This window comes from Homo sapiens, chromosome 11, assembly GCF_000001405.40.
Source record: "Homo sapiens chromosome 11, GRCh38.p14 Primary Assembly".
Taxonomy (NCBI): Eukaryota; Metazoa; Chordata; class Mammalia; order Primates; family Hominidae; genus Homo; species Homo sapiens.
In genome coordinates, this window is record NC_000011.10 from 23,148,379 (window position 1) to 23,161,058 (window position 12,680).

The 12,680-nt window shown below is 34.1% G+C and overlaps 1 long non-coding RNA gene across 6 annotated transcripts in view; it reads left to right on the forward strand.

Moving 5' to 3' along the window:
• Nucleotides 1-12,680, forward strand: part of LINC02718 (long intergenic non-protein coding RNA 2718) — a 376,384-nt gene that overhangs the window by 318,965 nt on the left and 44,739 nt on the right. For 3 of the 6 annotated variants that reach the window (NR_187207.1, NR_187206.1, NR_187210.1), the window contains exon 5: nt 6,833-7,025. This is a non-coding gene — a long non-coding RNA (long intergenic non-protein coding RNA 2718). Of the gene's footprint in view, nt 1-6,211; nt 6,416-6,832; nt 7,026-11,279; nt 11,506-12,680 lie in introns of all 6 variants that reach the window. The other 3 variants (NR_187205.1, NR_187209.1, NR_187208.1) reach the window with 2 other exon arrangements.

Genomic DNA, 12,680 nt, shown 5'->3' on the forward strand with positions numbered 1-12,680 from the left:
CACACAGGTGGGGACAGGCATCAGGAGACAAAACTGTCTCCACGTCTTTGCACATCAAGTTTCTTCTTCCTGAAATACCTAGCCTTCTTGCTTTCCTACAGAATTTCTACTTAGCTGTTTTGCTGAGATTTGAAAACTACTTTTCCCCTGAAGCCTTCTCAGATGTCTTCAGACAGTTATAGCTGCTCCTTTTCCTACATTTTTCTGCTTTGTTTTATATTATGAGTATCATTAATAAAAGCTTCTTTTTATTGAACATTTAGTCTATGGCAGTCTCTGCTCTAAAACATTACATATATCCTCATTTAATGCATCCTTAATTTTACAAGGCATATATTACTATAACTATTTTATAAGTGAAGACATAGATAATTAAAAAACTAAATTATTCATGCCACGATATAGAACTAGTAATTTGATGAGCATGAATTGGAGCCAAGGTCTGTGCAATTCCAAAATAAACACTCTGTCCTGCTTTCTGTCTGCCTCCACCATCTATCCTGAGTGTGCTTTTTCATATATCAATTAATAAAATTCATTACGGTCATGCACATGCTCTCTCCTGAGAGACAGTGCTGGGCTTAATCTTTAAACTCTAGAGATCAGCATGTTTTCAGGCTTTCAAAAATATATGTTAATAAATGGAGAAACACAATTTAAAGCACATGAAAACACGATTTGCTTCCTTCCTAATTTCAAAGATTGCAGTGTAGTCTGGATCAACCGGAAAGTACAAGTAATTATTTCATTTGGAGCCCAGTAACACCCTTCTGACAAGAACTCAGGGTAGTTCAAAATTATGACTAAGTTTGCTTAGGCAGTCTAAGAAGTGTCATTGTCTCTTCCATTTGTTTCCTTTTTGTTATTGCTACTTGTATTAGTGTCCTAGGGCTATTACACAAAGTAGCACAAACTGGGAGGCTTAAAACAACGAAAAAATTATTGTCTAGCAGTTCTGGAGGCTAGAAGTTCAAAATCAAGGTGTCAGCAGGGCTACACACATCCCCTGCCTGCTCCCCCTGAAACCTGCAGAGAAGACTCCTTCTTTGCCTCTTCCTAGCTTCTGGTGGTGGTTGTCAGTACTTACTGTTTCTTGGCTTACAGCTGCATCACTGTAATCTCTGCCTCTGTCATCACCTGACATTCTCCCTGCATATCTTGTCTTCACATGATATTTTCCTCTTTTTAAAAGGACACCAGTAATAATAGATTAGGGCCTCCTCCTCCCCATAATCTTAATTCAACTTGATTACATCTGCAAAGATCCTATTTCCAAATAAGGTCACATTCACAGGTATGGGGAATTGGGACTTCAATGTATCTTATTCATTGACACAATTCAAACTGCAACACTACTTACACCAATTTCCCTGCTGAACCCCCTTTTTTCTGTCACTGTTTGTATGTTCGTTTACATTCAGCCAATTTACCCTCAAGTTCTGAGACTTTCATAAGTGATAACAGTTAGCCTTTTACCATGCTTTGATTTGCTTTTCTTCCCCTTTCTGCTGTGTAACCCAAGTCCCTTTAGAACCAGATACAGAATCGCTGTATATTTGTGAGACCCACAGATATTTCTGGTTGCCCACAGATAACACAATCTCCCTTCACTTTCTGAGTGTGTGACCTCTGCATAAGAGTTCTTGGAACTACCAATCCAAGAACACGTTTTTTCCATCACTCTTGCAATGCAGAGGTCTTTTTCAGTCATAGGCCACAGAATACATACGCTAATGATAGCTAAAGAAAGCACTGTTGTCGTTTAGATATTCAATGATACGATCCAACTAAGCTTTCTGTTTTATTTTTTTAAAATTGCACAAATAAACTCATTATTAGATGGGACTCTAAGCCTACTTGAAGCAATAATTGACAACCCTAGCAATGTTACCTTACCAATATCCCCCAGTGCAATGTGTAAGATGGTAGGTAGTACCATTTTTTAATGAATAAAAAAGCAGATGCTACTAATTACTTGCCTAAAAATTCAGGTTCACCTTCAAAGTGGTTCATAAAAGCAAAAGTGCATCAAGAGGAAAAGCTACACATATTGAATATTCAGCGTTACTAAGCTCTAATTTGCAGCTACTGAATTGTGCAGATATCACCCATTCCCTCTCCCAGCAGTACTTGGTTCTGCTTCCCTTCTGGACTCTTTGGTATAAAAAAGTACTTGTATCAGCTTTAGAGAATAATTTCATATACCAAAGAGCAAATAGGAGAATTCATTAAGCAGATTTTTTTTTGTCATTGTTTGGTTTCTGTGTGTCTAAAGACTGAAGGAAATAACAAGAAGGATCTTTAAGAGATGCCCTTGTGTAAGAAACAGCGTTGCCAGAGTTCACTGGCCTTTCAAAATCGTACTTTCCCTGATGTTTCAGCTGCCATTTGGGAGGAGATGATTTGCAACAAAGAGAACTACTTTCAGTGTTAAGTACATAATCTGGAAATTTATGTTACAGGTATGCATATTTGTATATGAAAAATATTAACTGAGAAATTACTGAGCTTCTTAGCAAAAAATATAATTATTTCAGAGATATGATACAGTTTAATATCTGCCTTCCTCAAAAAGTCAGAAAATAAAAAGTTTTAAATTGCATATATTTTCATTTCTTACATATGTCAGAACACTCAGAATTTTTAATAAAATGTTTTAAAACATAATTATAAGTTGTTACTTTTATTTCTATGGTTAGTGGAACCCACAGGGTCCTGTATCTGATTAAATGGAGGATATATTAGGAGAATTTTTTAGAAGAATGACACATGTGACATATCACCATATTTGCAAGAAAATATAACTTGATAGTAGAGTAAGTTAGCTGCTTTATATGATGAATTAAAGGCACTAGCTCTTAGAAAAAAAAGTATAAAATGCTGACTTCAGTAATAATGTAAGGAGCTCTGCTCTTTAACATTTCCTAATTAGTTATAAACTATGATGGAGGGAAAGGTGGAATGAAGTATCTACGTATTACATTGCTTTCTTCATGAATTGGCAGTAAGCTACATTCAGAGTCTTAATAAAATTTTCCCAACTTTTCTTTCAAAAATTATAACAAATGTAACTGTGTAAACTGCTTTTGGGGAAACTACTGTTGGAAAATCATTTGAATGGTGAGATTTGAATGCAGAAAAAATTACTTAAGGACAAATATCATTAATACTTTCTTCAGAGCTTGAATGGAATAAGGATACTTCGGGAAACAAATGAGATATTGTCATTTGTTATACTAGATGAAGTAACTTAGGCACTCATGCATTAATCTTGTATTCACTAAGCAATTATTAAGCATGTGTGGCAGGCATGTTGATAGAAATTGTATATTTAATAGGTTTTATTCAGAGATTTTGTTGTATTAGGGAAGCCTGGCATAACATACAATTTTAATATGACAAGGGTATAGAGTTTTGTAGGAGGGGTGGTTGAAGTACCCCAGAAGTGCTCCTTGGCTTTACAGCCTCTACAGGAAAATATACCCATGGAGACACTTTTACAGTTAAAACTATTTTAGAAAGTTTAAAAAAATTGTAGTTGTTTTGAATAGAGTTAATATAGTACCCAACTTTACAACAGAAACTTCACAGAGGACTGTGCAAGGCTAAGAATCCAGGCTATGATTCATTCATATATTGATGTGTCTGCTCAAGGCTGGACTGGGCCCTGGAAAGAAGCAGGAACATAACAATTTGTAGGCGTGTCCTAAAAATATTTAAGTTATTAAATCCTGAACTCATAGATTCGGGGCTTTTTGAGGGCAGGAGATTTTCTTCTTCCTCCTACTTCTGCTCTTCTTTCTCATTCTCTTTTGTTTTTATAAGTTCATTTTGCCCAGCACAGTACCTGGAACAAAGTAGACACTCAACAAAGCTTTGTTAAACAGTCCCATGTACGCTTTTAACTGCAAGATGCATAGGAAAAAATTCCACACCTTACATTTCTGACTATAGGCTTTCTTTCATTTTTGCATCTCTAGTGGTTTAATATGGTTTTTAGAATACAGTAAAAATGACTCCAGTTTAATGAGCAAGTTAGTTACATTTACTTTGTTGACATTGCCCCATTTTAATATATGCTGCAACCTGTTCTCCTTGTCAAGAATCCAAATTTGTTGCATTTGGTTAATAACTTATAAAAAAAAAAAAAAAAACCCAAGGAAAAAAACAAAAAAAACCCCGTACTCAAACTTATTGCCCTGAGTTACTTTTGATTCTTGAAAGAAGCCAGCTGGTAATTCTCACTTTAATAATTTATTTTTTATTTGCTCAGTATATTTAATGCAATATAAACTAGAATTTGTAGCATATGTGCTTGGTGTAATGTGTATTTCTTTTATTAATTGTACCCAAAACTCACTTTCTCCTTTCCACAGGTTTCTTGCGTTTAATAATTTTTCAACATAATTTAATTCAATGTAATTGGTTCTTAAGTGTTTTTTTTAAATTGTTGTCTACATAGATTTATATTTTCCCTGCTTTATGAGAAATATTAATCTGTAGATTGCTTCTTTGAAAAGTGAGGCCAAATCACCCAATTATTTGTAACAAGAAAATTAAATTTATTAATAAAGTACAGTCAATAAATAATTTCAGTATATACTTTTTCTAGCAGCATTTGGCTCATTTAGGAACTTATTGATTTTATGTTTGAGGACTACTTTAACAAAATTTTCATGTATGAAGTTATGATAAAATGTGAGTATGTATGTTTTAATTATAGAATTTTTAATTATGTGACTGTAGCATTTTCAACTTAAATATAGCTTGAAACAATACTAACTACAAAAAAATAGAGTGATGACCAAATTTATTTTACTGCAGAGAAAATAGAGATTTTGCATTGTAGAGGTTTATACTTAACACCACAAAATTATGTGAATAGAAAATTTTGAAAATAACATTGTGATTATTCTAAGGGCACTAGACTGACCCTCAATTCTAGCCGACCTAATTTACTTGGACCTAGTGTTCTTCATCCTGTCCTCATCCATTCTGGGCTTTCTTGTCCATGTGCTTTAATGCACTCTCCTTTCTCTGAGATATTCTGCCCTGTATCTCCCCATGTCTGTCAAAAACTCATCAAGCCTTGGTTCAAACATCAACTCCTTAATGAGGGCTCCATAATTACTTCCCAGTGCTTTCTGGAAGTGATCTGTCCCACATAATTTTTTGATCTTATGCTGTCTTTTTATGTTTGTGTAGCTACATGTCTGTCTTTATTTGAACAAACATGAGCTCCTTGAGGATAGACTAGGTAATTGATGTATTTCTATCTCCTAAGTAACTGCTTCAGACAGAATGGAAAACAAGCCTCTACACCTCCAGCCAGAAATGAAGGCACAAAATTCAGCCAAACTCAGTTTCAATAAAATAGCAAATTATGTCTCCACTCTTCTACATTCCCCAGTCTCCATGCTATCTTTTCATGTTTTGCAAACAAGTTGTCTCATTAAGAGATAAAAATACCTAGTGATAAAATCATTAAACTGTGCTACCACATTCTGTCATACATAGTGTGTTATGGTACTATATGCACATTAGATACTTCCAGAGATTACTAAGATGAATTATAGTTTTCTTTAAAGATAAAAATTCTACCCCATAGTACTTCAAGTCAAAATAATGGAATGTATGATATGAGCAAATGATATTCTACTGGGTTCTTGCTGCTGCTTCTCTTAGTGTATTTAATAATGTGTGTGTGTGTGAGTGTGTGTGTGTGTATATATATATATAGTTTTTGGTTACATTGATAAATTCTTTAGTTTTTCTGTTTATCATTCTCAATCCATACACTTATTTCCTATGCCTGAAATATTTTTACCTTATCATCCTTTTAAGTCCCTCTGTGAGTTATGCTACACCAAATCTTCATAATATAAAGGTACCTGTATGTTTCTAATACAATCCAAGTGTGAAAAGTATTCACAGATATAGAAGAGGTGGCATTTATTCTAATCAGTTTTTGGTTCATTTCCAACTTAATTATTTTAAGGTATTCTTTCAGCTAAAAAATTTATAAATGTCTTTAATGAACACCCTCCATACCTTCTCCCTGCTCTTGTTTTTATGTTATAAAATCTGAACTTTTTCATTGAAGAGTCTCTAAAATGCTCTACATAGATTTTATTCTGATCTTCTATTTCTTTTTTGAGCCTGTCAATTAATTATCTCTGGACAATACTTTGTGCCTTGTTTTATGTTTCAGAATTCCAGATACTCAAGGTTGGAGAGCTACTAACCCAGTACATGAATTCCCAGTGTATCTTTCAGTGTTCTGAACCTGTATTTTACATTTTCAGAAAAGTTGACCACAGAAGCATGTTTATATTGTATTAAAACAAACTATTTTTCTGGAAAGTTTTCCCATTAAGCGTCTAACCTCCAAGCATCGAATCCCAGGCCAATTTGTGTGAGTATAAGTCATTGATATGGTTCTACTGTGAACCCACCTAAATCTCATCTTGAACTGTACCTCCTACAATTTCCACATGTCATGGGAGGGCCCCGGTGGAAGGTAACTGAACAATGGGAGCAGGTCTTTCCCATGCTCTTCTGGTGATACTGTCATGAGATCTGATGATTTTATAAAGAAGGGTTCCCCTGCACACACTCTTGCCTGCCACCATGTAAAATGTGACTTTGCTCCTCATTCGCCTTTCACGATAATTGTGAGCCACCGCCCCCCGGCCATGTGGAACTGTGAGTCAATTAAACTTCTTTCCTTTATAAATTACCCAGTCTTGGGTATGTCTTTATTAGCAGGGTGAGAACAGCCTAATACAGTCATGTTCACAAATTTACAAATAACCTTTTTATTTTCTTGAAGTTCAAAGTACCAACCTGGAGAAAATGCCCTGGATTTGGAAGCAAAGTATTGAATGTTGGAAGTCTGAATAAAGGAATCATACACTGTATGTGCACCTGAATGTACTTTACAAGCATCAGTAGAACACTTCTGATTGAAGCTTGGTCTTATGAAGATAAAAATTTTATGTGGACCACAGATTCTCTAAAAATCAGTGAGTTCAATTCATTTTGAATTAGAACAACAGTTTAAATTAGGTAATACACAGCTCAAAATGGCCAACTTTACTAGTCCAATTCAATAGATCCGGGCCCTAGTCCATTATTATAAACCAACCAAACAAACAAAATAACCCAAGATATAAGTGAAATATTTGGAAGATCAAAATTCTGATTATAAATGACCGGATTCTGTGCTTTCTTCTTCACTCTTCTCAGGCTGCTGTAAAACAGAATTGATAAAACCACATGTTTCAACTATTATTACAGTTTACATTGTAAGGAAATTTGCCTATGTAAACAAAAAAATGGAGAAAAAAGAGACTCATGTAACTTCTTTTGTAAATAGATGTATTGGGTTAGTAGCAGAACAACTGGGATTGTGAAAACAAAAAATATACATATAAAAACTTTCAAAGAACTTTGCAATCAAATATAAGAAATAAACATAGTATCAGAAAAATCTGATCAAAATTTATAGCAATATTTTCCCAAGGGAAAAGAAATCCATCCAAAAAAAAGAAATCCAAAAGCTGCTTATATTCTAGAAGATTTTTTCTTTTAAAATCCCTGTTCTTCATAAAACTAGAGACAATAAGTAAAATTAAAATATTATAAACCAGGATGAAAATAAATGAGAAAACATATTTTTAAAAATAGCATAACAATTTTATTAGAAAAATTTAAGACTGCATTAGTAGCAGAAAAAAATAAACAGAAAAAATAAAGTCAGTGTTGTTAAGGAGAAACTTGGGGAAATTACCCAGGAAATATAAGAAGGGGAAAAAACATTGAAGTAATTTAAAAGAAGGATAAGGGTATGAAAGATAGTTAATAGAGATCCAAAATATAATTATGAAAGAAACAGACAATATTGTTTCTGCAGATAGCCTACCATACATATTGACTTGAATTAAGGCCTTACTCTGTAAATTCATGGCATGGATTTAATGCATGGCGAGTGGACAATTTGGAAACAGAAAGTCAAATATCGCATGTTCTCACTTATAAATAGAAGCTGAATAATATGTATACATGGACATAGAATGTGGAATAGTAGACACTGGCAACTCAGAAGGGTGGGAGGGGATGAGGGATGAGAAATTACTTCATGGGCATAATGGACGTATTCGAGGGATGGTTACACTAAAAGCCTAGACTTCACCACTGTGTAATATATTCATGCAACAAAGCTGCAATTGTATCCCTTAAATTTATACAATTAATAATAAAAACACATAGCAAAATTTCCCAGATAAGGGAATTCACTGCATTTTACAGATAAGGAAAGATTTCAATTAGCATCAATGTAGTCTAAACAGATTCTTAGGTCATAAAAACTAATTTAACATATCAACCTCTGATCACTTTACATTTTTTTCTCCAACTCTAGCAGTTTTCTCACATCATGTGTTGTTAAGTACTCAGCTGAATAGTCAAGAGAGGTCTCTTAGTAGACCTCTGGAACATATTGCTTCTTGCAGCTGTGTCTCTGTAGTACTCTGCTCTGCAAATGCTAGTTTCATTGGCTTCTCAGATTCTCTGCACTGTCTCTTCAACTGAAGAAGTCTGCTGGGGTCTACCTGGGTTCCCTTTTCTGGTGCTGCTTCCTAGAAACTTTTAAAATAAAGTAGATAGGAGCAATCCTCGGTCTCACCGCCTTTATTTTCCATTTTTCAGAGATCACTGTCCTTTAATGCCTGACAGCCAATGTCTAGAAAGCCATGCATATATATATATATATATATATATATATATATATATATATAGTGTTTTAATTGTTTCAGTTAGGAGGCTAAATTGAGTCCCTGTTTCTGTATCTTGGATGAAAGTGAAAGTCTCCATTACATTTTATTAGCTATGTTTCTTAGTCTATTTTTATTTTTTAAAATTTTCTGTTTTAAAAAAATGCTTTGGAATTGTGTAGGGAATCATTTCCATCTTTAGTGGCTTTTTCTTCTGTCTCCTTCTCAAGTTTATTAAAAACTCTAGAGATGTGTAATTATCCCACCTAGACTTGATAGGATCACTACTTGAAATATATATCTTACATCTTATAATGTAGTTCTGCGATCACTAAGACAAGACAAAATTGCTAATGTCCTGGCTTTGAAACCACTTTCCTCAGCCACAGAGGAAATATTGCTAGCCTTAATCTCAGTGGTTTAAGGTACCCATGCTGTAGCTACTTTCAAGCAATATGCTTCATATTCAACCTATATTCCAATATTCCATCATACTACAAAAGTGGAACTTTGTTTACTTTAAAACCAGAATCCAGAACATCCACATTTTCAGCTTTTGGGGCTTGGAGATGTATATTTTGCATTTTTTCATCATATTAAAATTGTATCTATTGAATATTGGAACTAAAAATATAATTTAAAATGTGGCCACACAGTAACAAAGACATCTTATTCAGAAGCCTCTAGAATAAGGCTTTTTAAAAGTACCTTACATTGCTCATTCTTATACATTCTCTTATTAATAGTTAATGGTGCATGTAACTATTTTCCTCCTAACAATGTGGGTTGTTTGAAGGTAAGGACCATGCCTTATTTATTTCCATATTGTCTTCACTCTAATATACTTTAAATTTCCCATTCACCTAGTGAACTATATTAGTGAGTCAAAGAGTTATTAGTACTCAAGGAAAGTATCCATTTAACAGAGAAAGAAAATGTGGCTATTATCAGAGTTAACCACATAAATTTTATTAGAAAGTCATCTTTTCAATAACCCTTCTCATTGAATATGTTGGTTATTACAGTTTGAGTGATATGAGGTGAGTTGGAATTATTTTACTTGCTTTGAATAAAAAATAGAAATTTGTGATGTAGAAAAGAAAAACAGAAGTCAAACAAGAAAAAGAGGATACAGTTAAAATGGCTATAGGTCATGCCCCTAAAAGGAGAAAAGGCTGATGGACTTTTCAAAATAATAATGCAGAAACAGAAAATCAAATAACCACCACTTATATGTGGGAGCTGCACATTGGGGGTACACATGGACAATAAAGATGAAAACAATAGACAGTGGGAGACTATCAAAGAAGGGAGGAAGGGAAGTGGAATATTAGGGTTTTCTTAGAGGAACAGAAATAGTAGGATATGGCAAATATGTATCACATATATACCACTTCCATTTCATGATGGAATGCTGCTGTGCATGACCCACTCCTTCTCTGAGGAGAATAAACAGAGGCTTTACCCTACATATGAAATAGACTTAACTGAAATAGTCCAGTCAAGTCACTAAACTAATAGACAAGCAAACAAGGAATCAACAACAAAACCAAACCTCAGAGAAGGAGATAAGTATCCAGAGTGGCTGGAACATATTATCTTAGAAGTCCAGTTTTCCACAAAAAATTATGAGACCTGCAAAGAAGCAGTAAAGTTTTCCTTATATGCCAAGAAAAAAAGGTAACAGAATCTGTTTGAAAGAGGGCACAGTTGTTAGACCTAGCAAAAGCAACTATCTAAAGATATAGGTAAAAAATTAAAGTAGATCATGCTTACAGAAGTAAAGGAATATATAATGACATGGTCTCATCAAATAGAGAATACCAATAAAGAAATAGCAATTATAGGCCCGGCATGGTGGCTCACGCCTGTAATCCCAGCACTTTAGGAGGCCAAGGCCGGCAGATCACCTGAGGTCAGGGGTTCAAGACCAGCCTGGCCAACATGGCAAAACCTCATCTCTACAAAAATAGAAAAATTAGCCAGGCATGGTGGTGTGTGCCTGTAATCCCAGCTACTCGGGAGGCTGAGGCAGGAGAATCACTTGAACCCGGAAGGCAGAGGTTGCAGTGAGCCGAGGTCATGCCATTGCACTCCAGCTTGGGCGACAAAATGAGACTCCATCGCAAAAAAAAAAAAAAAAAAAAAAAAAAAAGTGATTATAAGATGAACTAAATGGAAATCCTGGAGTTAAAGTATATAGTAACTAAAAGGAAAAAAAAAAAAACACTAGATGGGCTCAACTGCAGATTTCAATGGGAAGAAAAAAGAATCAACCAACATCAAGGTAGATCTATAGAAATTATATAATCTGAACAATAGTGCCTAAATAAAAAGAGTACAGTGCCTCAGAGAAATGTGGGACACCATTTAGCACACAGCAAGCATATAATGGCAATACTAGAAGATAAGAAAAGACAAAACAGTGGAAAAATGTTCAAAGGAATAACGGCTGAAAATTTTCCAAATTTGATGGAAAACATTAATCTTTACATTCTTTTTCAGAACTCCAAGTAGGATCAACACAAAGACACCCACATTCAGGTACATCTTGTCAAATGTGGAAAGGCAAGAATGAAATGAAATGTTGACAGCAAGAGAAAAACATCCCTTTATATACAGAGGAACCCCAGCAACAGTAACAGCTGAATTCTTGTCAAAAGCAATGGAGACCAGGGCTGGGAGTGGTGGCTTGCACCTGTAATCCTAGCACTTCGGGAGGCCAAGGCAGGTGGATCACCTGAGGTCAGGAATTCGAGACCAGCCTCTCCAATGTGGTGAAACCCCATCTCTACTAAAAATACAAAAAATTAGCTGGGTAAGGTGGTGGACACCTATAGTTCCAGCTACTTAGGAGGCTGAAACACAGGAATCGCTTGAACCCGGGAGGTGGAGGTTGCAGTGAGCTGAGATTGTGCCACTGTACTCCAGCCTGGGTAACAGAGGGAGACTCTATGCCAAACAAACAAACAAACAAACAAACAAACAATGGAGACCAGAAAGCAATGAGATGAAATGTTCAAAGTGCTGAAAGAAAAAAAAAAAGGTCAACCAAAAGTCTTATATCCAGAATATTTTTCAAAGTATAAAAGCAAAATACATTCTCAGATAATAAAAACAAAACAAACTAAAAGAGTTTGTTGCTATCATACCTACCTTACAAGAAATACTCAGTGATTTTTTTCAGGCTAATAGGCTAGGAGCATTTGGCACCTAACAGTAATTTGAATTTATATATATGTTTGTATACATATATATGGAACACTCATAGAGGTAATTATATGAATAGTTATATAAGACATTAAATTGCATATTTTTATTTTCTCTTAATTCAAAATAAATGCATAAAACAATATATGTATAATAGTGTTGAGCCTATAATGCAAACAAAACTAATATATTTGACATTAAGAGCACAAAAGAAATAATTGGAGCAAAGTTGTATTAAAGAAATGAAATGACACTAAGATACAACTTGAATCAACAGGAAAAAAATGAAGAGAACCAGAAATTGTAAAGAATAATGTTAACATAACAATGCTAATAGTTACTTTGCTTTCCTTTCTTCTCTCATGTTCTTTAAAAGACATAAAATTACATAAAAACAAGCATTATAACAATATATTTTTGTGTTTGTAACATGTAGATGTAATATATATATAACAATTATTGAATAAGTAGAATAAATAGACCTATAAAGAATTAATGTTACTATGTCTCAATGGATTTATGTTACTATAAATGTTGAGTCTGATAAGATGTATGTTGTAAGGCATACAGCAATCGATAAGAAAGTAATATGAAATATATTTTATAAGTGAGTTTGATTTATTTTAAGAAAATAAAATACTACGTTAGGAACTATTTACTTAATTTAAAAGAAAATAGTAAAAGAGAAAAAGGAGA